The 22,013-nt window shown below is 40.2% G+C and overlaps 1 long non-coding RNA gene across 5 annotated transcripts in view, besides 1 other annotated feature; it reads right to left on the bottom strand.

Moving 5' to 3' along the window:
• Positions 1–717: 717 nt before the first annotated feature.
• The window catches only part of LOC107984685 (uncharacterized), a 216,619-nt gene continuing 195,323 nt past the window's right edge, over positions 718–22,013 (bottom strand). For 4 of the 5 annotated variants that reach the window (XR_007064101.1, XR_001750694.2, XR_001750699.2 and 1 more), the window contains one exon: positions 21,043–21,179. This is a non-coding gene — a long non-coding RNA (uncharacterized LOC107984685). Of the gene's footprint in view, positions 830–21,042; positions 21,180–22,013 lie in introns of those variants that run through there. The other variant, XR_001750697.1, reaches the window with a different exon arrangement.
• Positions 20,108–20,402: a silencer, noted in NCBI's record as "tiled region #1682; HepG2 Repressive DNase unmatched - State 12:CtcfO". NCBI's record gives its function as "represses a minimal TATA promoter and a strong SV40 promoter by Sharpr-MPRA in HepG2 cells {active_cell/tissue: HepG2}" and the evidence as "EXISTENCE:reporter gene assay evidence [ECO:0000049][PMID:27701403]".

Raw genomic sequence — 22,013 nt, 5'->3', positions numbered from 1 at the left:
TTAATATTTATGTTTCGGAGAATTATTCTGCAGAGCTGTGGTTCTCAAAGTGTGGTCCCTGCATCATCAGCATCAGCATCAATTGGAAACTTGTCAGAAGAGAGAATTCTCAGGTGCCACAGACCTCCTGTATTAGTCATGGCTGTTCAGAGGCACAGAACCAATAGGATATATGTACGTATGAGAGGGAGTTTATTAGGGGGAACTGGCTCACACAATTACAAGGTGAAGTCCCATGATAGGCTGTCTGCAAGCTGGGGAAGAGAGAAGCTGGTAGTGGCCCAGTCCAACTCCGAAGGCCTCAAAACCATGGAAGCAGACAGTGCAGCCTTCTGTCTGTGGCGGAGGGTCCCTAGAGCTACCAGTAGGCTGCTGGTGCAAGTCCCAGAGTCCAAAGACCAAAGAACCTGGAGTGTGATTGATATTCAAGGGCAGAAGAAGTGGAAGGAAGCATCCAGCATGGGGAAAAAAGAGACTCAGCAAGCAAAGTTATGCCACCTTCTTCTGCCTGCTTTGTTCTAGCCACAGTAGCAGTTGATTGGGTGGTACCCACCCACATTGAGGGTGGGTCTCCCTCTCTCAGTCCACCGACTCCAATGTCAATCTCCTCTGGCAACACCCTCATAGAAGCACCTAGAAACAATACTTTACCAGGCATTTAGGCATCCTTCAATCAAGTTGACACCTAATATTAACCATCCCACTCACCTTTGACACAGCAATCCATGTTTTAGCAAGTCCTTCATGCGATCTCATTCACTCTCTAATCTGAGAACCGCTAGTGTAGAGAATGGAATGGTGCAGGCTGTTTCAGCAGGAATATTTTCAGCTACCGGAAATTAAAAACATGATCAATAATAGCTTAAACAAGAAAGGGGTTTGTTTGCATTTAACAAGCAGCATTCCCAAGAACGGCAGTCCAGGGACGGCATGGTGGCCAGACAATGCCACTAAGAACATAGACTCCTTCTACTAAAACCTTCCTACTTCATTGTTATCAGAAGGGGTTGTTCTCAGAGTTATGCAATGGGTTCCAATTCTGGGATCTATGACTGCTATGTTCACAGAAAAAGAAGCTGGGAAAGGGTTTTGTCTCCCGTGGCTTTGCTTTTGTGACAATGAAACAAAAGTAGAAGCCTCTTAATGCACTTCTGCCCATATCTGATTGGTAAAAACCATACCTAGTGCCTCTCTAGCTACAAAGTTGCAACTTTGGTAAAAGGAAAATGGCTATTCAGTTAGTAAGCTCTCAATTTTCTCAATTACTGGGTACACACTTTTTCCTAAGCTAAATACCTCTGTGAAGTATATGTATTTTAAGTTGTCTTTTTTAATAGTGCATCCGGAATTGGTTTCTTTCGATGGGTTCTTGGTCTTGCTGACTTCAAGAATGAAGCCGCGGACCTTCACGGTAAATGTTACTGCTCTTAAAGATGGCGTGTCCGGAGTTTGTTCCTTCAGATGTTTCCAGAGTTTCTTCCTTTTGGTGGGTTCATGGTGTCGCTGACTTCAGGAGTGAAGCCACAGACCTTCGCAGTGAGTGTTACAGCTCTTAAAGGTGGCACGTCCAGAGTTCTTTGTTCCTCCTGGTGGGTTTGTGGTCTTGCTGACTTCAGCAATGAAGCTACAGACCCTTGTGGTGAGTGTTACAGCTCATAAAGGTAGTGTGGACCCAAAGAGTGAGCAGCAGCAAGATTTATTGTGAAGAGCGAAAGAACAAAGCTTCCACAGCAGATTGCGGCTGCTAGCTCATTTGGCCCCGTCCACATCCTGCTGATTGGTCCATTTTACAGAGTGCTGATTGGTGCGTTTAAAATCCTTTATCCAGACACAGAGTGCTGATTGGTGCGTTTTTACAGAGTGCTGATTGGTGTGTTTACAATCCTTTAGCTAGACACAGAGTGCTGATCGCTGCATTTTTACAGAGTGCTGATTGGTGCATTTGCAATCCTTTAGCTAGACACAGAGTGCTGATTGGTGCGTTTTTACAGAGTGCTGATTGGTGTGTTTACAATCCTTTAGCTAGACAGAAAAGTTCTCCAAGTCCCCACTCAACCCAGGAAGTCCAGCTCCCTTCACGTCTCAAGAGGACAGAAGCAAAACTTGAATAGTGAAGCCCTATTCTCCTTGCCAGATCCTTAGTAATTCTTAACTATTAGCCACCTAATAATGCCAGGATTCTCCTAACAGATTCCTATGAGGGGATATTAGAGAACTCCTGAATATGTCTATGATGATTCATAAAAACACTGTAGACTGTGTGGATTAATTCTCAAAAACCTGAGATGACAACCTAGAATTACTATCAGCGTCCCAGCAACTATCTCTGGGGTGATTCATGGAGAACCACCTAATGTAAAAATTCTCCCTTTGAATCACTTTGTTTCTCACTGAAATCTGGCAATTTCTGCTAATCAAAATGAGCTGTCCTGCTTTTGTCCTGAGAGTTGACAAATGCATGCAACAATGAACACACATTTGATTTAATAATCTTTCTTCATATGCTTCTCTATAGCCTTTTCCATGATCGGAGGTATTGGTTTCAAGTATGAAACAAGTACAATTATCTTCATGTATTAGCTAGCAAAGCTCTTGTGATGAAAATGAAAATCATTCACTCCTAGAATCTGACATTTGCAAACTGCTAAACAATTTGCATATTGGTAGAAAGTAAGAATCCCAGCTCTTTTTTCCCGCAAATTCCCTATAACGCTTAACATGAGCATTAAGAATTTAAGTTACTTAACAATCTTTGAGAGATCCTAGAAATAAAACCCCCAAGTCCTATGGGTTCATGCTGAACTCTATCACTGGCTATGATGACGAGTGGGCCTGAGTTAGTAATTAAGAACAGAGAAATAGGAGACTGTGAGCAAACACTATTTAATCAAGAAAACAAGCAGCATCATTCAGTCTCCACTGAACAAATGCAAATACCTTAAGAAATATGTTGTCCTGGATAAAATTCAAAAACATTTGGGAGACTAAAACCTTACATGTTATAATTACACACATACACTGACAGGAGGGATGAACATAAACAACAGCACTAACCATTGCTCTTTAATTGAAATTAAAGACAATTTTAAAACTTCATATCACTGAGCAAAAGGCAAGAGTATCAACTTTAATTTCAAAATCATTATCAATAGTGTATAACACATTGTCAAACAAACGCAATTCTCTTGCTGTGCAGTCTGCTCCTATTGGCATTTGGCAGTCTGAACACACAGTCATGCTATCTAACACTCATATTTCCAAACATAACAAAAGGAGAAAAAACTCTGCAGATTATTAGAAAATATTAGCCAGCATGATTATCTGTGGATACATTTAAGTGAATTTGGACAAGGGACAAACTCTAAGCCTACTTTCTTCTTTAATCATATTTTTATGATTATATGTATATCCAATGAGATGTACTTTGATCAGATAATTATAATTTATGGAAAGATGAAGAGTTTTTGAAAGAATATATTTACAGACATACCTCATTTTATTGTGCTTTGCTTTATTGTGCTTTGCAGATATTGTGATTTTTACAAATTGAAGGCTTGTGGCATCCCTGTGTCGAGCAAGTCCATCAGTACTGTGATTCCAACAGCATGTGCTGTCTTCATGTCTCTGTGTCACATTTTAATAATTCTTGCAATATTTTAAACTTTATTATTATTAATATATCTTTTATGTGATCTGTGATCAGTGATCTTTAATGTTACTATTGTAATTGTTTGGGGGCGCTACATACTACATCCACATAAGACAGTCAATGTACTCTATAAATGTTGCTCATGTTCTGAATGATCCATGGACCCACAATTCCCTGTTTCTCTTTCTCTCTCTCTCTCTCTCTCGTTCTCTCTCTCTATGGTCCTTCCTATTTCCTGAGAAACAATAATATTGAAATTAGGTCAATTAATAACCTTATAGTTATTAAGTAAGGTTATTAATAACTAAGGTTATTATTAAGTGTGGAAGTGTGGCATCTAAGTTTCTAAGTGTGGAAGTGAAAAAGAGTAATGTGACTCTCTAAATCAAAACCTAGAGATGATTAAGCTTAGTGAGGAAGACATGTCAAAAGCTGAGAAAGGCCAAAAGCTAGGCCTCTTGGATAAAACAGCCAAGATGTGAATGCAAAGGAAACACTCTTGAAGGAAATGAAAAGTGCTACTCCAGTGAACAAATCAATGATAAGAAAAGGAAATACCTTATTGCTGACATAGAGAACGTTTTAGTGATCAAGGTTGACGATCAAACTGGCTACAACATTCCCTTAAGCCAAAGCCTATTCCAGAAAAAGACTCTAACTTACTTCAATTCTGTGAAGGCGAGAGAGGTGAGGAAGTTGCAGAAGAAAAGTTGGAAGCTAGCCAAGGTTGGTTTATGATGTATAGGGAAAGAAGCCATCTCCATAACATAAAAGTATAGTGTAAAGCAACGAATGCTGATGTAGAAGCTGCAGCAAGTTATCCAGAAGATCTAGGTAAGATCACTAATGAAATTGGCTCTACTAAACAACAGATTTTCAATGAAGACACAACAGTCTCCTATTGGAAGAAGATGCCATCTAGGACATTCATAACTAGAGAGGAAAAGTTGCCTGGTTTCAAAGCTTCAAAGGACAGGCTGACTCTCTTCTTAGTGGCTAATGCAGCTGGTCACTTTAAGTTGAAGCCAAAGCTCATTTCCCATTCTAAATATCCTAGGGCCCTTAAGAATTATGCTAAATATACTCTGCCTGTGCTATATAAATGGAAAAATGAGTCTGGATGACAGCATATGTGTTTGAGGCATGGCTTACTTAATAGTTTAAGTTCTACTCCTCAGAAAAAAAAGATTCTTTCCAAAATATAATTGATTATTAACAATGGACTGGGTTTTCCAAAAGCTCTGATAAAGATATACAAGGATATTAATGTTATTTTTATGCCTGCTAACATAACAGCAATTTTTGACATGTCTTCCTCACTAAGTGTAATCATCTCTAGCTTTTGATTTAGAGAGTCACATTACTCACATACTCTCTATGGCAGTTGTAGTCTTATAATATGCATGTCTTAAATAATAAGATTTGAAAGTTGAAACAACTCCTTGGTTCATGGGCTGCCATAGAGAGTAATTCCTCTGATGAAGTTTGGCAAAGTAAATCGGAAATCTTCTAGAAAAGAATTCACCCTTCCAGATGCCATTGGGAAGAGGTCAAAATATCAACAGGAACAGGAGTTTGGAAGAAGTTGATTTCAACCCTCATGGATGACTTTGAGGGGCTCAAGGCTTAAGTGGAGGAAGTAATTGCAGATGTTATAGAAATGGCAAGAGGACTAGAATTAGAACTGGAGCCTAAAGATATGACTGAATTGCTGCAATCTCATGATAAACTTCAAAGGATGAAGAGTTGCTTCTTATGGATTAGCAGAGAAAGTGGTTTCTTCAGATAGAATCTACTACTGGTGAATATGCTGCAAACATTGTTGAAATGACAACAAAGGATTTAGAATATTACATAAACTGAGTTGATAAAATAGCAGCAGGGATTGAAAGGATTGACTCTAGTTTACAAAAAAGTTCTACTGTGAGTGAAATGTTATCTAACAGCATCACATACTGCAGAGAAATCTTTAGTGAAGGGTCAATCAATGCAGCAAACTTCATTGTTGTCTTATTTTAACAAATTGCCGCGGACATTTCAACCTTCAGCAACCACCACCCTGATCAGTCAGCAGCTGAATCCACATTGAGGCAAGACCCTTCACCAGCAAAGCCATTACAACTTGCTGAAGGCTCACATGATTGTTAGAGTTTTTTTAGCAATAAGATGTTTTTAATTAAGGCGCATATTTTTTAGGTATAATGGCATTGCATGCCCAAAGAGCTATAGTATAGTATAAATATAACTTTTGAATGCACTGGGAAACCAAAATATTCATGACACGTTATTGTGATATTTACTTTATAGCTGTAGTCTAGAACTGGACTCGCAATATATCTGAAGTATGCTTGTATGTGCAAATAAATTTAAGAAGAAAACAAAAGACAAAGAAAGAAGAAAGCATTTTGGATTTTACCTAATACAATTTGAGCCTTTCTTATATATTAGAAATCATTTAAATTTGCTGATATTTAACCATTTTTGGCCTTCCCTGCTATTTTGTTGCTCCATCTGCTATTAGGTGCATTCACACTAGTTTACTAACCGAAATATATATTATTATCACTAGCTTTGTGGATGAGGAAACTGAACTTGGTTAAAATCACAGAATTTTTACACAGAGATGTCAGGTTTAAATTACAGACTATTTCATCTAAAGCGCACCCTCTCTTATTTTTATTCTGGCAGACTTCTCCCAAAGAATCTAAACCTTTCCTAAACAATTCTCAGAAACAAAATGATGAGCTATTTACCTTATCTATTAGCACACTCCTGGTTTTTATTCTTAAGAAGATAAAAATGAGCCTCTCATACATGGTCAGACACTAGTTATTATGTTACATTTTCTCTACCAAGTTAGAAACAATAATAGATTTTCTCTCAGCATTCACGTGAGACTAAAAAGAAAAAAAAAGGTGTTTAAACATGAGGCAGGAAGCATCACTTAGATAAATTCAAAAGTAAAAGGACTCATGTGTCCAAATTCTTAAGAAGAGAAAAAAAAAAAACTAAATATTCTGAAATGTTCCTCTGTGCATACTACTTTCCATGAATTTCAGTTGAGAGTTACTATATGCTATTAAACACCATTTTAAGCAGCAGGTTATACTCCTTGGTATGACAGGGAGCACAGAAATAAAAAGTGAGGAAGAAAAAAACCGTGAAAACATAAAACTCTGAGAGCATTATTTGTCTAGTGTTGTTCATCTACTTACGGACATTAGTAAAAAGCAATTTCAAAAATCTGTGCACTGCCGATCTGGGAACTGAAAAGACATATGGATTTCCCTGGCCTGGGCCGTGCTTCATAGTGATTAGTAAAGTCCTGTTATGTGAACGTTTGAAATGATTCAATCTTGACATTAAACTAATTGACAAAAAAGAAGTTTCATTTGGCAGTATTACCACCCTTGTTGCTATTATTTAGCATTTGTGTGGCATGTTGTTCTTGCATATTTCTCCACAAAATCCTTATATAGTGAGAGCAGTTCTTTTTTTTCTTCATTTACAGATTAAGATTTAAATGATTTCCTTAAGTTAAAAAACTCAAGTATTTTATCAAATCAGGATTCGAATTTAGCATTTTCAGAAATCCAGCCATTTGTTCAGTTTCTTATTTTAATAACAAGCTAAAATGACTAGTTCATTCAACTTTACTCTTTTTAAATCTATACCTCTTGAAGTCTACGTATCTGCTTTGCTAAATATGCCATGCTTTTTATCATTCCAAGTCTTTCTTTTCGTGCTTTGTGACTTATGTATAAGGGAAAGACTAAATGAGTAGTATTTCCCAGATATTAACCAAACTACTCCTTATGGTTGAAGACTACCTGTTTCAGAATGGCATTTACAATACTTGCTTCCATATGCCCCCAGATTCAGATGATCTCTAACAAGCCAGTATTATATTTCATCTCTGTTAAAAAAAATACAAAAAAAGTGCAAACCTTCTCCCACTTCAACATTTTCTCAACATTTTTTCTTGTGAAAATTCTGAGAGCCTTCTTGTCTCATAATTGCCTTCATTTTTCTGATACATAAACTGCACCTCAATATTTCCATTCTGTTAAGGGGAAATCTTTGTGTTATTTTTTGACTGAAATTTCAAAAGCTGATTAGATTATAATTAGCTTGCTATATGCTCCATTTCTTGGTTTCTATTTTGGTTTGGAAAATAAGATTAACAATCTAGATTGGACAGTCAGGTTCCTGTTCTGAAGCTGCTGTATAAGACTTGCCCCATAGGGTAGAGGCAGAAATGTGAAGAGACTTGCCAAAGAGCAAGTCATTTCCACTGTCTCAAAGCTTTATTCTGAGTATCTACAGCCAGACAAAGAGCTTCAGTGACACTGAAGGATTTTGTCAGCTCTGGAGAAGCAATTTTGTTTGTTTGTTTGTTTTTTGAGACGCAGTCTCACTCTGTTGCCTAGGCTGGAGTGCTGTGGCGTGATCTCGGCTCACTGCAAGCTCTGCCTCCCGGGTTCACGCCATTCCCCTGCCTCAGCCTCCCGAGCAGCTGGGACTACAGTCGCCCATCACCACGCCCGGCTAATTTTCTTGTATTTTTTTTAGTAGAGACGGGGTTTCACCTTGTTGGCCAGGATGGTCTCCATCTCCTGATCTCGTGATCCACCCGCATCGGCCTCCCAGCGTGCTGGGATTACAGGCGTGAGCCACCGCGCCTGGCCGGCAATCTTTATTCTAACGAAAAGACTGAACTCTTGTCACAGCCTCAACCATAAATTCATCATCTCATTAAAAGAAACATTACAAACACCAGAATTCCAATAAAACAAACAGATTCCTTAGGAAACCTCTTTTTAACAGAGCAATGTGCCCTACAACACAGTATGAATATCAGAACAATTTGTACTTGGCAATCACATAAATAGTTTAGGGCATATAGCCCTAAAAGTAAATTGTGGATAGCTATTTGGGGGAACAGCACTAAAAGAGTGAACTCTGTCGATGAGATAATCTAGCAATCTTTCCGTTTCAGTGGTAGCTTATTATATGCCTCAATAGAGATTCCACAATTTCTAAATGATTACCAGTAGATGTTATTAAGAAAAAGTGTCTTCAATATGCCATCTCATGTATACCAGAAGGATAAGCTTATTTGTTAGCATCAAAAAGCCTCTTAAAAAAAAAAAGAAAACAACTGTATTTTCCTTTCCAAAATAATGTGAGGAATGTATTCAAAATATGTAAGAAGCTATGAAGAAATTAGTAAGTAAAATGACAATTCAACAACATATTTTATTATGGATTTCAGTTTCTTGTTAACCTAAACTGAATTGAATGGTTTATAGAATCTCCCTAAAGTGGACATATTTGTTTAATTTTGCTTTAAAAATAAAAATGTAGCCCAACTAATGTGTGGAAAAAATGTTAAAAATTTAAATATGCTTCTTGGCCTCTTCCTCTAGAAGATAAGAAAACTATTTGAAACTCAGTAGTTTTAATGATTTCTGGTTAATAATCTTTGACCTTAAGATATGACATTATTTCTACTACTGAAGAGAAAATCACAGATGTAGAATTTATCAATTTACTGCATCTATCCGATTCACATTCTGATTTTGAAAATGAAACAGTATATTATAGTGTCAAAATGAAAGAAAATAAAAAGGCAGCTTTAAGAGCATTTGGATAACTTAACTATAAGTCGCTACAGGCAAAGCTGCTAAGATTTTGTAATTTTTTTTAGTTGGTAGATTTTTTTTTTGCACTTTACTATCTTTCCTAGTTTCACATAAGTACATAAGTGAGAAAAAAGAACTATCCATTACAGAGCCTCTCAAAAAATCATGTTTTGTTCATCTGCCAGACTTTTTCAGCAAATGTGTCTATGATGAATTTTACTCTTCCCCATCCCTCTCTTTTATTCCATCACCATTTGAGAAAATACAGTTGCAGGATTGGACTTAAATAATTTTTTTTGTGGGGGGTGTTCACTGAGAAACCTGGAAGGCCAGATGAAACATACTTATTGCTATTGAAACTATGTAGGAAGAGAAAAATTCAGGAGAAGATGGCATTTATTAAGACCAAATAGTAAATTACTTTCCATTATTTTTTCTCCTCATTCTTTGTAATGAATGATCTGTTTTCCAAATTTCTTTTATAAGATTTGTGTGTGTGAGTGTGTGTGCCTGTGTGTGTTGACATTTTTGATAGTCTTCTATGTAGATTTATGAAAATAATAATGTTTAAAACTAGATTTGTAAACCCAGGAATTATGCTCTTGGACCATGATCTATGATTATGCATTACTCCAACTGGACTGTTCTTCACCAAGAACTTGCCTGCAAATCTCCTCTATTCTCTTAATGTAATAAAAGCCTCTGTTTTCTTCCCCTGTTGCTTCTATAGCCTGAAATCATGCCTACTAATCTTTCTGAGCTTATTTTAACTTTTAAGTCTTGTATTATTTTCCCTATATTTCAATCCCCGGCTCTGCAACAGTCTAAACGCTTTCTTCTCTCCCCACCCTTGGTTACTTTGTGGTGATCAAAGAAAACTGTGTAAGATAATTCACAATATTTCAATAAATACCAACATTATATGTCTTTTTAGTCACTTACTAAAACCTTTCCTTCCAGTTTCAAATGAGCAGATAAAGTAGTCTCCAAATCTCTACTTGACATACTTACCACATTTTGACTACAAATCAAAATGACCAAGACAAACATATATACCCTGTCAAATAAAAGATACTACTAAATTTCTTCTCACATTTCATCTCTGATTGTACCTTCACCATCCGCAAGTTCTCATCGGAGTCCTTTTAAATTTTGACCTCATCCACCACCTTCCAAGATAACTAAAACTCTAGCTCTCCCTTTACAGAGATCAGGGAAACTTGCAAACAATCATCTAAAATACAAAGCAGAAAGAACAATGAGATGTCTCACCTGGAAACTTTGGAATTACTTCCCAACATCTCGTTCTTATTCAGTTTTCAAACCAAATCTGTAACCCAAAAATTATTGTTGAATTATTGTTGAATTTATTTCAACAATTAAATTGATCTCCCAAAGCATGTTCTTTTGATTTCTTGCCTGAAATATTGCAGCAAGTGCATGCTTCCAGCATCTCCTTTGTTTTCATCGGACACCCACATTACCACCACTTGTTTTTTTATAACCTATTCAGTTAATTTTTTTACAAATTTTAATTTTCTAAAACGAGGGTCTACAATTTTGACTGTGTATCTCATTATTTTTAAAAAGTAGAATAGGCAATGTAAACACATATGGAGATATTTATAAGTTGCATATGTTGATGAAAATAGTCAATCTCTGTATTTATTTATTTATTGAAGAGATTTATTCTGAGCCAAATACGAGTGACCAATGGCCCATTATACAACCCCAGGAGATCCTGAGAACATGTGCCACGGTGGTCAGGCTACAGCTTGGTTTTATGTATATATATACATACATACATATATATAACATATAATATATATTTTTATATATTATGTATATTTTATATATTATATATATATTAGTGAGACATAAGACATCAATCCATACACATAAAATGTACATTGGTTATGTCTGGAAAGGCGAGACAAGTCGAAGGTGGGGAGGGGAGTGGAAGAGGGGCCTTCCAGGTCGTAAGTCATAGGTTTTCTGATTCGCAATTGGTTAAAAGGGTTATTATCTAAGACCTGTAATCATTAGAATAGAATATCTGTGTTAAAGGTTTTATCACGCACTTGAAGCCTCCAGGTAGCAGGCTTCAGAGCTCTTTCAGGCCTAACATGATGCCAGACTTTGGTTAATTCTCTCCTGGATCAGAGAAAAGACCTGGAAAGGAATGGGTATTCTCTGTATAATCCAGGTTTTTCTCACAAGAGAAAGCTTTGCAGGGTCATTTCAAAATATGCCAAGTAAGTATATTTTTAGGTAAAATAATTCAAATTTGTTAAGGGTTCACTGTCTGTCATGTGATGCTACACTGGAGTCAAGCTGGAATTTGGTGTTTTATTGCTACAAAAACAAATCTGTTTCAACAGTTTCAACAGTCTTAAGAGTTCTGTTTTAATGTGAATGCTGGTCAGCTGTGCCTGAATTCCAAAGGGAGGCGTATATAATGGGGCATGTCCAATACTGACTCCCCATCACGGCGTGGACTATATTTTTAGGTTTATTTTGAAGTGCCCTTGGCCAAGAGGAAGCATCCATGCCGTTGGTTGGGGGTCTTAGAATTTTATTTTTTGTTTACACATACATGCTGTATTAGTCAGGATTCTCTAGAGGGAAAGAACTAATCATATATATATATATATATATATATTGTGTATATGTGTATATATAGACATACATACACACACACACACAGGGGAGTTTATTAAGTATTATCTCACACAACCACAAGGTCCCACAATAGGCCGTCTGCAGGCTGAGGAGCAAGGAGAGCCAGTCTGAGCTCCAAAACTGAAGAACCTGGAGTCTGATGTTCGAGGGCAGGAAGCACCCAGCATAGGAGAAAGATGTAGGATGGGAGGCTAGGCCAGTCTCTTTTTTCACATTTTTCTGCCTATTTATATTCTAGCTGTGGTGGCAGCTGATTAGATGGTGCCCACCCAAATTAAGGGTGGGTCTGCCTTTCCCAGACTACTGACTCGAATGTTAATCTCCTTTGGCAACAACCTCACAGACACCCAGGATCAATACTTTGTATCCTTCAATCCAATCAAATTGACACTCAGTATTAACCATCACAAGTCGACCCCTTGTCAACTTGAACCCATATACATCTCCTGAGATCATACATAGTCTTCAAATAAAGACAATAAGGTCATAATTACACCTAACGTAATATAACTCTGCTTCATACAATCGGAATCACACCAATCCCCAACCCAAATACTATTACATAAAGTGAACAATACTTAAATGCTGATGTGAGGTCAATAAATCTCATGTCACATGATAAAAGAGAAAGGAAATAAAATGAAGATATTTTCTTGGTACAAGTGTATACATGCACAAACATGTTTTCAACAAAAGGAGGAAATACTCATGGTAGTTACATTCCTCGTTTCTGCAGCTGGTCACCTGGTCATAGCTGTTATCGATGACTACCTTCTTCTACTACCCAGTCTGTATTTCCTTTGTCTTCAGCAAGCACCTCAGCAGGTTGTGGTTTCTTTCCTGGTGGAGTGACCCAAACCTTCATTCCTGAAGGGGCTGGGTCTTTTATACTCCTGCCTGGATTGGACTGTTGTAGTTTCCCATTGACCTTAATCACAGGGCATGGTAATACTAAGAGACACTCTAATAGATCTCTTGTATTCCATGCATACTCTTCCTTACCTCTGTTGTGGAATAGTAGATTGATTTCATCTTCATAGTCTAGGTCAGTTACCCCAGTCAACACTGTATCTCCCTTCTTAGCCTGTTGACTTAAAGGTAGGAGGAGCCCAAGTGTCCAGGTGGCAATCTTAACTTTCACTTTAATGGAATTGTTTCTATCTCTCCTGGTGGCAGCATTCCTCCTTCTGGAACTAAGACCTCTAGGCCAGCAGAACAGAATGTTGCAGGAACAGGAGGCAAAAATTTTGCTAGTGGATCACTAGGGGTGATGGTGAGTGGTGCCACTTCCACTTCTACCCCTTGATTCCTGGACCCATGAATCCTGGCTATGGGAGAAACAGTACCATATATTGGACTGTGATTCAGAGTATACACAGCTCTCTGGAGAACTTTGCTCCAGCCCTGCAAAATATTGTCACCTAGTTGGTGTTGTAATCGTGACTTCAAAAGGCCATTCCACCGTTCTATCTATCCAGCTGCTTCAGGATGATGGAGAACATGGTAAGACCAGTGAATTCCATCAGCATGAGCCCACTGCCACACTTCTTTAGCCATAAAGTGAGTACCTTGGTCAGGAGAAATGCTGGATGGAGTACATGATGGTGGAGAAGGCATTCTGTGAGTCCACGGATGGTAGTCTTGGCAGAAGCATTGTGTGCAGGATAGGCAACCCCATATCTGGAGTAAATGTCTATTTTATGAGGACAAACCTCTGCCCTTTCCATGATGGATGAGGTCAAATAGAATCAACCTGCTACCAGGTAGCTGGCTGATCACCCTGAAGAATGGTGCTATAATGAGGGCTCAGTGTTGGTCTCTGCTGCTGACAAATCGGGCACTCAGTAGTGGCGGTAGCCAAGTCAGCCCTGGTGAGTCACAGTTCATGTTGCTGAGCCCATGCATAACCTCCATCCCTGCCACCATCGTCACTTTGTTCATGGGCCTATTGTGCGATGACAGGGATGGCTGGGGAAAGAGGCTGAATGGTGTCCACAGGACGGCTCATCTGATTATTAAAATCCTCCTCTGCTGAGGTCACCCACTGATGAGCACTCACATGGGATACAAATATTTTCACAGTTTTTGACCACTCAGAGAGGTCCATCCACATATGTCTTCCCAAATTTCTTTGTCACCAGTTTTCCAGTCATGCTTCTTCCAAGTCCCTGACCATCCAGCCAAACCATTGGCTAGCACATGAATCAGTACATAATCTCACATCTGGCCATTTCTCCTTCCATGCAAAGTGCACAACCAGGTGCACTGCTCAAAGTTCTGCCCACTGGGAAGATTTCCCTTCACTGCTGTCCTTCAGGGATGTCGTAGAAAGGGGCTGTAGTGCTGCAGCTGTCCACTTTTGGGTGGTGCCTGCACATCGTGCAGAACCACCTGTAAACTAGGCCCTAGTGTTCCCTTCCTCTGTCAACTGCTCATAGGGAACTCCCTATGAAGCCATCGGTGCAGGCTAGAAGAGAGAAGTCAGGGTGGTAGGAGTGGAGACACTGGGCGTTTGAGCCACTTCCTCATGTAATTTACTTGTGTCTTTAGGACCTGCTCGAGCCCGATCACATACATACCACTTCTATTTGATGATGGAATGCTGCTGTGCACAACCCACTTTATGGCTAGATGGGACAGAAAGCACCCAGTTCATGATAGGCAGACATGGTGACTTGATGCTTGATGACCCATAGTCAAACGTTCAGTTTCCACCAAAGCCCAGTTACAAGCCAAGAGCTGTCTCTCAAAAGGAGAGTAGTTATCTGCAGAAGATGACAGGGCCTTGCTCCAAAACCCTAGAAGCCTCCGCTGTGATTCACCTATGGGAGCCTGCCAAAGGTTCCAAATAGCATCCCTATCTGCCACCGACACCTCAAGCACCGTTGGATCTGCTGGGTTATGTTGTCCAAGTGGCAGAGCAGCTTGCACAGCAGCCTGGACCTGTTGCACAGCCTTCTCCTGTTCTGGACCCCACTCATAATTGGCAGCCTTTAGGGTCACTTGATAAATGGGCTGGAGTAACACACCCCAATGAAGAATGTGTTGCCTCCAAAATCCAAGTAAGCCCCCTAGGTGTTGTGCCTCTTTCTTGGTTGTAGGAGGGGCCAAATGCAGCAATTTATCTTTCACCTTAGAAGGAATACCTCGACAGGCCCCACACCACTGCACCCCTAGAAATTTTACTGAGGTAGAAGGTCTCTAAATTTTAATCGGATTTATTCCCATCCTCTGGCCTGCAAATGTCTTACCAATAAGTCCAATGTGTTTGCTACTTCTTTCTCACTGGATCCAATTAGCATAATGTCATCAATGTAATGGACCAATGTGATATCTTGTGGATATGAAAAGTGACCAGGGTCTCTCCGAATAAGATTATGACAAAGAGTTGGAGAGTTGATATACCCCTGAGGTAGGACAGTAAAGGTATATTGCTGGCCTTGCCAGCTGAAGGCAAATCCCTTCTGGTGGGCGTTATGGACAGGCACGGAGAAAAAGGCATTTTCCAAGTCAATGACTGCATACCAGGTACCAGGATAGGTATTAATTTGCTCAAGTAATGAAACCACATCTGGTACAGCAGCTGCAGTTGGAGTCACCACTTGGTTAAGCTTATGATAATCCACTGTCTTCAAGATACATCTGTCTTTTGCACAGGTCAAATGGGAGAGTTGAACAGGGATGTGATGGGAATCACCATCCCTGCATCTTTTAAGTCCTTGATGGTGGCAGTAATCTCTGCAATCCCTCCAGGGATGTGATATTGTCTTTGATTTACTATTTTTCTAGATAGAGGTAGCTCTAATGGCTTCCATTTGGCCTTTTCCACAATAACAGCCCTCACCCTACGAGTCAGGGATCCAATGTGGGGGTTCTGCCAACTGGTAAGTATTTCTGTGCCAATTATGCATCTGGCACTGGGGAAATGACCACAGGATGAGTCTGGGGACCCACTGTAAGTCAGACATGAGCTAAAAATCCATTAATTACCTGACCTCCATAAGCCCCTACTTTAACTGGAGGACCTCAATGACATTTTGGGTCACCCGGAATCAATGTCAGCTCAGAGCCAGTATCTAGTAGTCCCCAAAATGTCTGATCATTTTCCTTTCCCCAATGCACACTTACTCTGGTAGAAGACTGGAGGTCTTCTTGGGGAAGGATGGGAGAAAGATTCACTGCATAAATTGTTGGTAATGTAGCGGGGTCCTTCCTCAAGGGGACCCGGCCTTCCCTTCATTCAAGAGGTTCTGTTTCTGTAAACTGGCTCAAGTCTGGAAATTGAGGGGCAGTGATTCTCTGTTTTCATAATTCAAATTAATCTTTTGTCCATTTGACCTAGTAGTTTTCTGCTTGTATAAATTAAGTAGGAATGCAGTAGGCTTCCTATCAATTTCACTTCTAGGAACACTATGATTAATTAGCCAATGCCAGAGCTCTACATGTGTCAGACTATTCTGATTGCTGCTTTGCCTCTGCTGTCCATTAAGGTAGCTACACCCACCTTGCCTTTGATGGTTGAGTGCCACCACTTGGCCCCTGACACCTCGGGATCCAATTACTCCCATTGTATTTAAATTTTGTAATTGAGTGACTATTGTTCCCACTGTTAGATCTGACATACAAGAAGAGCAATTACAGGGCTTTTCAAAGATGCAGGAGCTGCCCTCAGAAATCTATTTCACAAGGCATTGGTCAAGGATATATCTTCTGGACCCTCCCAGCTAGGATTAGTAGGTCAAAGTAACTAATCCACTCCACCATCCCAATCTCCCTAAGCCTTTGGATCCCTTCCTCTATATTAAACTAAGGAAGATCAGACATTTCCAGCTCACTCACAGTTGGCCATCTTTTAATCCATATTTCAGATAACCAAGCAAATAAACTATTAGAACCTTTTTGAACTCCCCGATCTGCAACATTAAATGCACAGTTTCTACTTAGCTGGCCCAAATCAATAAATAAACCCTGATGCAGCTCTATGTTGAGGCTCAGTATCTGCTTCTGAAGCAAGTGGGTAGAACCCCTGAGTTCATCATTTTCTTTCATCACTTTGTCCACTGAACTTAGGAGCAACCAACCAGCTTCCTCATGTTCCTTCTTTTTCCACATATGGTCAAAGGTATTATGCATAGACTCACCAAACTCCTTGCCGCTAACAAGCAATGAATCAAGAGTGTCAAATACATTTATTTTGCGTAACTCTCTAAACAGTTTATGCCAAGACTATCAGTGTTCTCCATACTATTAGAAGTAGATTCCTTAGCATCTTTGGGTCTAATCATATTAAGTAGCCAACTCTAGAAATCCCAAAACCAAAGAATGAAGTCCATCCTTATTATTTTGTTTCTCCAGAACCACTCCTGGCAATAAAATGTGTATTGGGGTTTTCTAGAGGGACAGAACTAATGGAAAAAAAAATATATATATATATATGGAATATATATATATATGGAGTTTATGTTAAGTATTAACTCACATGATCACAAGGTCCCACAATAGGCCATCTGCAGGCCGAGGAGCAAGGAGAACCAGTCTGAGTCCCAAAACCGAAAAATCTGGAGTCCGATGTTCAAGGGCAGGAAGCATCCAGCATGGGAGAAAGATGTAGGCTGGGAGGCTAGGCCAGTCTCTCTTTTCACATTTTTGTGCCTGCTTATATTCTAGTTGTGCTGGCAGCTGATTAGATGGTGCTCACCCAAATTAAGGGTGGGTCTGCCTTTCCCAGACCACTGACTCAAATGTTAATCTCCTTTCGACCATCCAGGATCAATATTTCGTATCTTTCAATCCAATCAAGTTGACACTCGTATTAACCATCACACATGCATTACAAATGTATATTTTGTATGCTACAAAATCTACCTTCAGAAAGAGTTTTTAAAAGGAGATGAACTATAAAATTGTACTGCTTTATTTCTGAACCTTCAGGTATTCTTTCATCACCTGTCAGGTTCAAATACCTCATTTTGGAGACGATTGGTCTACTCCAAGGGTTCTTATTCTTGGACTGTTGAAATTTTGGGTTGGAAAATTATTTTGGGAGTGGGGAGGGTGCTGTCCTGTTTATCACAGGATGTTTAGCAGAATCCCTGGATACTCACTTCTATGCCAGGGCACCCCATTCCTGACATACTTGCTTTCATACATTGCAGTGTCCCACAGGGACAAAATTGCCTCTAGTTGAGAACCACTAGTCTACAAAGAGGATAAAATAGAGAAAGATAAGTCCTATTTTTCACCCATGTAGTGTCTCAACATACCTATCCTGCTTTGTTTCACATTATACACTACAGATATGCACCCTCCAGTGTACCTGTTTACACTTCTCAGTTTTCATTCCTGTTATTACCTCTATGAAGAATCCATTTCCATCCTTCTTTCCATGAACAAAAGACAACTCAAATAACACAATTCTTCTGCACAAAATGTTACTTCCATTCCACTTGGGGTAAAAAATTGTGTTTATTATGTATATATTATATATATATAATAATAATAATATACAATCTTTATTTCCAACTAGGCTGAGAACACTTTGAAGTTAACAGAACATGCCTGGCTGTGTGCATTAGATAGTACCTGCTTTTCAGCTGATCAATGACGTTGTGCATTGTTAATCCTTTCAAGTTACATCGTCTCTCTCAATTGCATAGAGTTACATTTTTTTCTTTCTGAGCTATTCTCTCTATATACATACTTGGTTTTTTTTCCTGTGCCAATATTCAACTTTGGAAATTAGCCTCTTAATTTTACCTATGGAACCATTTTCTCTAGACAAACATGACAAGATGTTCTGTATCTGAATTATTTAGTTTAAATGAGTAAATAATTGTCAGCACTTCCCTTTATTTGGTGTGATACTGTCGCAGGATCCTTTGGGTGTCACTGGTTTCCAGCCAGAAACCTCTATGGCCGGTGGCGTCTTTGCCCAAGTTTTGCTCAGGCCTACTGGGCTTGTTCTGTCCAATCAGCCTAGCATGATGCACTCAGCTCCTGCTACCAGCCTGGATCCCACACCTGCCAAGTGTGAGCTAGGCATGAAGCAGTGAGGGGTGTGTGAGCAGGTAAGCGTGGGGCCTGGCCACTGTGCACAGCCAGGCATGCCAGCTGTGATGGACAGGCAGCTCCAGGTGCTGGCACAGGTGCCAACTCCATGCAAGGCTGCAGCTGTACCAGATGTACTGCAGGTGACTTCTGCTGTGGGCACCAACATCTGGACAAGGGGAATGCAGTGGCGCCCGAAATCTTGGAGATCCCAGAAACTGCAGAGCCTCAAAGAGGTTGTTACAGCATGTCACAGTCCTGGCTTAAAGAGCCCTGAGGTCTGGGTTCCCAGACATAGGCTGCAGGACTTCTCTCCTTTTCGTCACCCACAAAATGGCAAACGGGTGGGTGTGTTTCAGTACTGTTTGTGTTACAGCTGTTTTAGTCTTGCCATTTAGTGGGTACTGAGTTCTTGTCCCGTATCCAGGAAGAATGAGGTATGCAGACAACCTGGAGGGTAAGCAAAGTGGAGACTAGCTTCATTGAGCGACAGAACAGCTTCTAGGAGACCAGAAGTGGTTAGATCCTTTCTGCGGGCAGGTTGTCCCAGCTAGTGTCCAGCTCTCAGTAGAGAGGAGACCTGCAGTGGGCAGCTCCTTCCTGCAGCTGATAATCCCTACCTCTGTGTCAGTCTGGCTGAGTCCCGGGATTTTTACGGGCTCAGGAGGGAGGAACTGTCTGCTGATTGGTCTATGGGCAGCCATGGGCAGGCCTGGAAAATGCACCATAAGTTCTCACTCCACGCTATGGACTGCACCCAGAACCGGCAGCCCAGCCCCCAGGCTTCAGGCTGTTCCTGGCTTGAAGGTGGAGTTTCACTGCAGACCCAACCCTTTCTGCCCAGGAACCTGTCTGCCTCCTGCCACAAACATGCTGTTCACAGTACTCAGTCTGTTTGTGCCCAAGGGGCATCTGCAGGCCTGTGCTGAGCCACCTCCAACCCCCTTCACCCTCTCTCCCTGAGCTCCTCAGTGCCCAAAGTTTCAGAGTGGGCAGAGGTTGCAGGAGGAGGTGACCTGTCAGTGCCATAATCTACACATACCCAATGGGTCATGAGAGCACCCAGGCTCAGCTTCAACTTTGCTCCGAAATTGGAGCCAGTGCTGGAAGTGGAGAGAAGCCAGGGAGACGGAGCAGGCACTTCCAAGCCTGTGCGAGCAGTGGGACTTCCTGGGCCCCTGAGAGCACAGGTATTCCCTGGTCCAGAGCTGCAGCTGGGAGGCTGCCGCTGCATCCGGGAGCATGGGGCTGTTGCCCCTTTAACCCGGTAGGGGGCAGGGCTCCTGCCTGTTCCCGGCCCCTACCTGCTCCACTGAGTGGACAACCCTGTCTACACCTCCTGTGCTGCAGCCAGCATCTTCACAGTGGACACTCCAGAAGGCTGCCTCTGCCATAATAACAAACATGTTTTACTGCAGGTAGCATCACAGCTTCATTGAACATGATCTCAAATTCCACTGTACCCATCAGATCGAGGGAAATGAATTGGACTGGACCCTTTTCTTTTTAAAAATTTTAAACATTTTTATTTTTTTTTTCTGAGACAGTGTCTCACTCTGTCACCCAGGCTGGTGTGCAGTGGCACGATCTTGTCTACTTGCAACCTCTGCCTCCCAGGTTCAAGCAATTCTAGTGCCTCAGCCTCTGGAGTAGCTGGGACTACCAGGCATCTGCCACCGCGCCTGGCTAATTTTTTGTTTTAGGAGAGATGGGGTTTCACCACGTTGCCCAGGGTGGTCTCAAACTCCTGAGCTCAGGCAATGCGCTCGCCTCAGCCTCCCAAAGTGCTAGGATTACAGGCATGAGCCACCATGCCTGTCCAAGGCTGGACCAATTTCTTTCATAGGTAGAGTTGACAACTGGCTACATTGTATTTTGGAGGTATGGTACAGTTGATCTATTGCTGCGTATTGATGTTTTATATTCCTTTAACAAATACCATAACTATGAAATAGTATTAAATTAGAGGATATACAGAAAAAAATTATGCGAATTGAAAAATTAAGCAGGATGTGTAACGATGTTCATAAAGTTATTTTTATTTCTTCAGCAAATATTCATGAATCACCTAGTTGTCAGGAACTATGCTAGGAAGCATTTATATAGCAGCCACAACTCTTGCCCTCATAATAGAATGTAGAAGTGCGGTTATAAACCTGAAATAAGTATACACATAATTATTTAATTATATTGTGATCTGAATTCTGAGAAAGAGGTATGGATTCTGATTTATTTAGAAAGATTTCTCTTTGTACAAATAAAAAAAGATATTATGTAACTATGTCTATTTGGATATAAATAAATATACATATGAATATACAGATATGGCTATATCTCCATATATGTGGGTATATATATGTGAATGTGAATAAAATAGATACAGATAAAATGTAGATAAAACCTATTAGAAAGTAACTAAACTTAAATATTAGCTATTTATGAGTTTGTTGAGGAATTTTTTCCTAAATTTTTTGTATATTCAGTAAGTTCAACATCACCATATATTATTTCTGAAAATAACTGAAAACTACATATTTAAAATAAAACTCCATTAACATACAATTCTCTAATAAGAGAGCACAAAGGCTTTAGGGAGGGTTTTACAAGATTTAAAGACAATTTTGGTGGTGGAACACAGCACAACAACACTTGGATAGGTGAGATGTAGAACTCTTTGTTACCATTAGCGCCAAAGGAGAAAAGGCTGCAGTGCCACATAAGGTGTTGTATCCAGAGACAGAGTAACAGCAAGGTGGAGCTGGATGGGGCAGCTTAGGTGTGGCAAGAGTTAGTTAGGCCCTCAGGTTCCTTGTGGATTGGCTAATTTGGGTAATTTCCAGGACTCCAAGACACAAGAGAAGTCCCTAGTTATCTATTATCTGGCCCTGGGACAGTTAGGGCAGGTGGATAGTGCCCCTAGTGTGTGGTTGGGATGTGAAATTAATCAGCTACTCATGAAGGGAAACTGACCGGCTGTTAGCCAGGGCCTC

The sequence above is a fragment of the Homo sapiens genome, chromosome 14 (genome assembly GCF_000001405.40).
Source record: "Homo sapiens chromosome 14, GRCh38.p14 Primary Assembly".
Lineage (NCBI taxonomy): Eukaryota > Metazoa > Chordata > Mammalia > Primates > Hominidae > Homo > Homo sapiens.
This window is presented reverse-complemented; position numbering and strand designations above follow the sequence as displayed.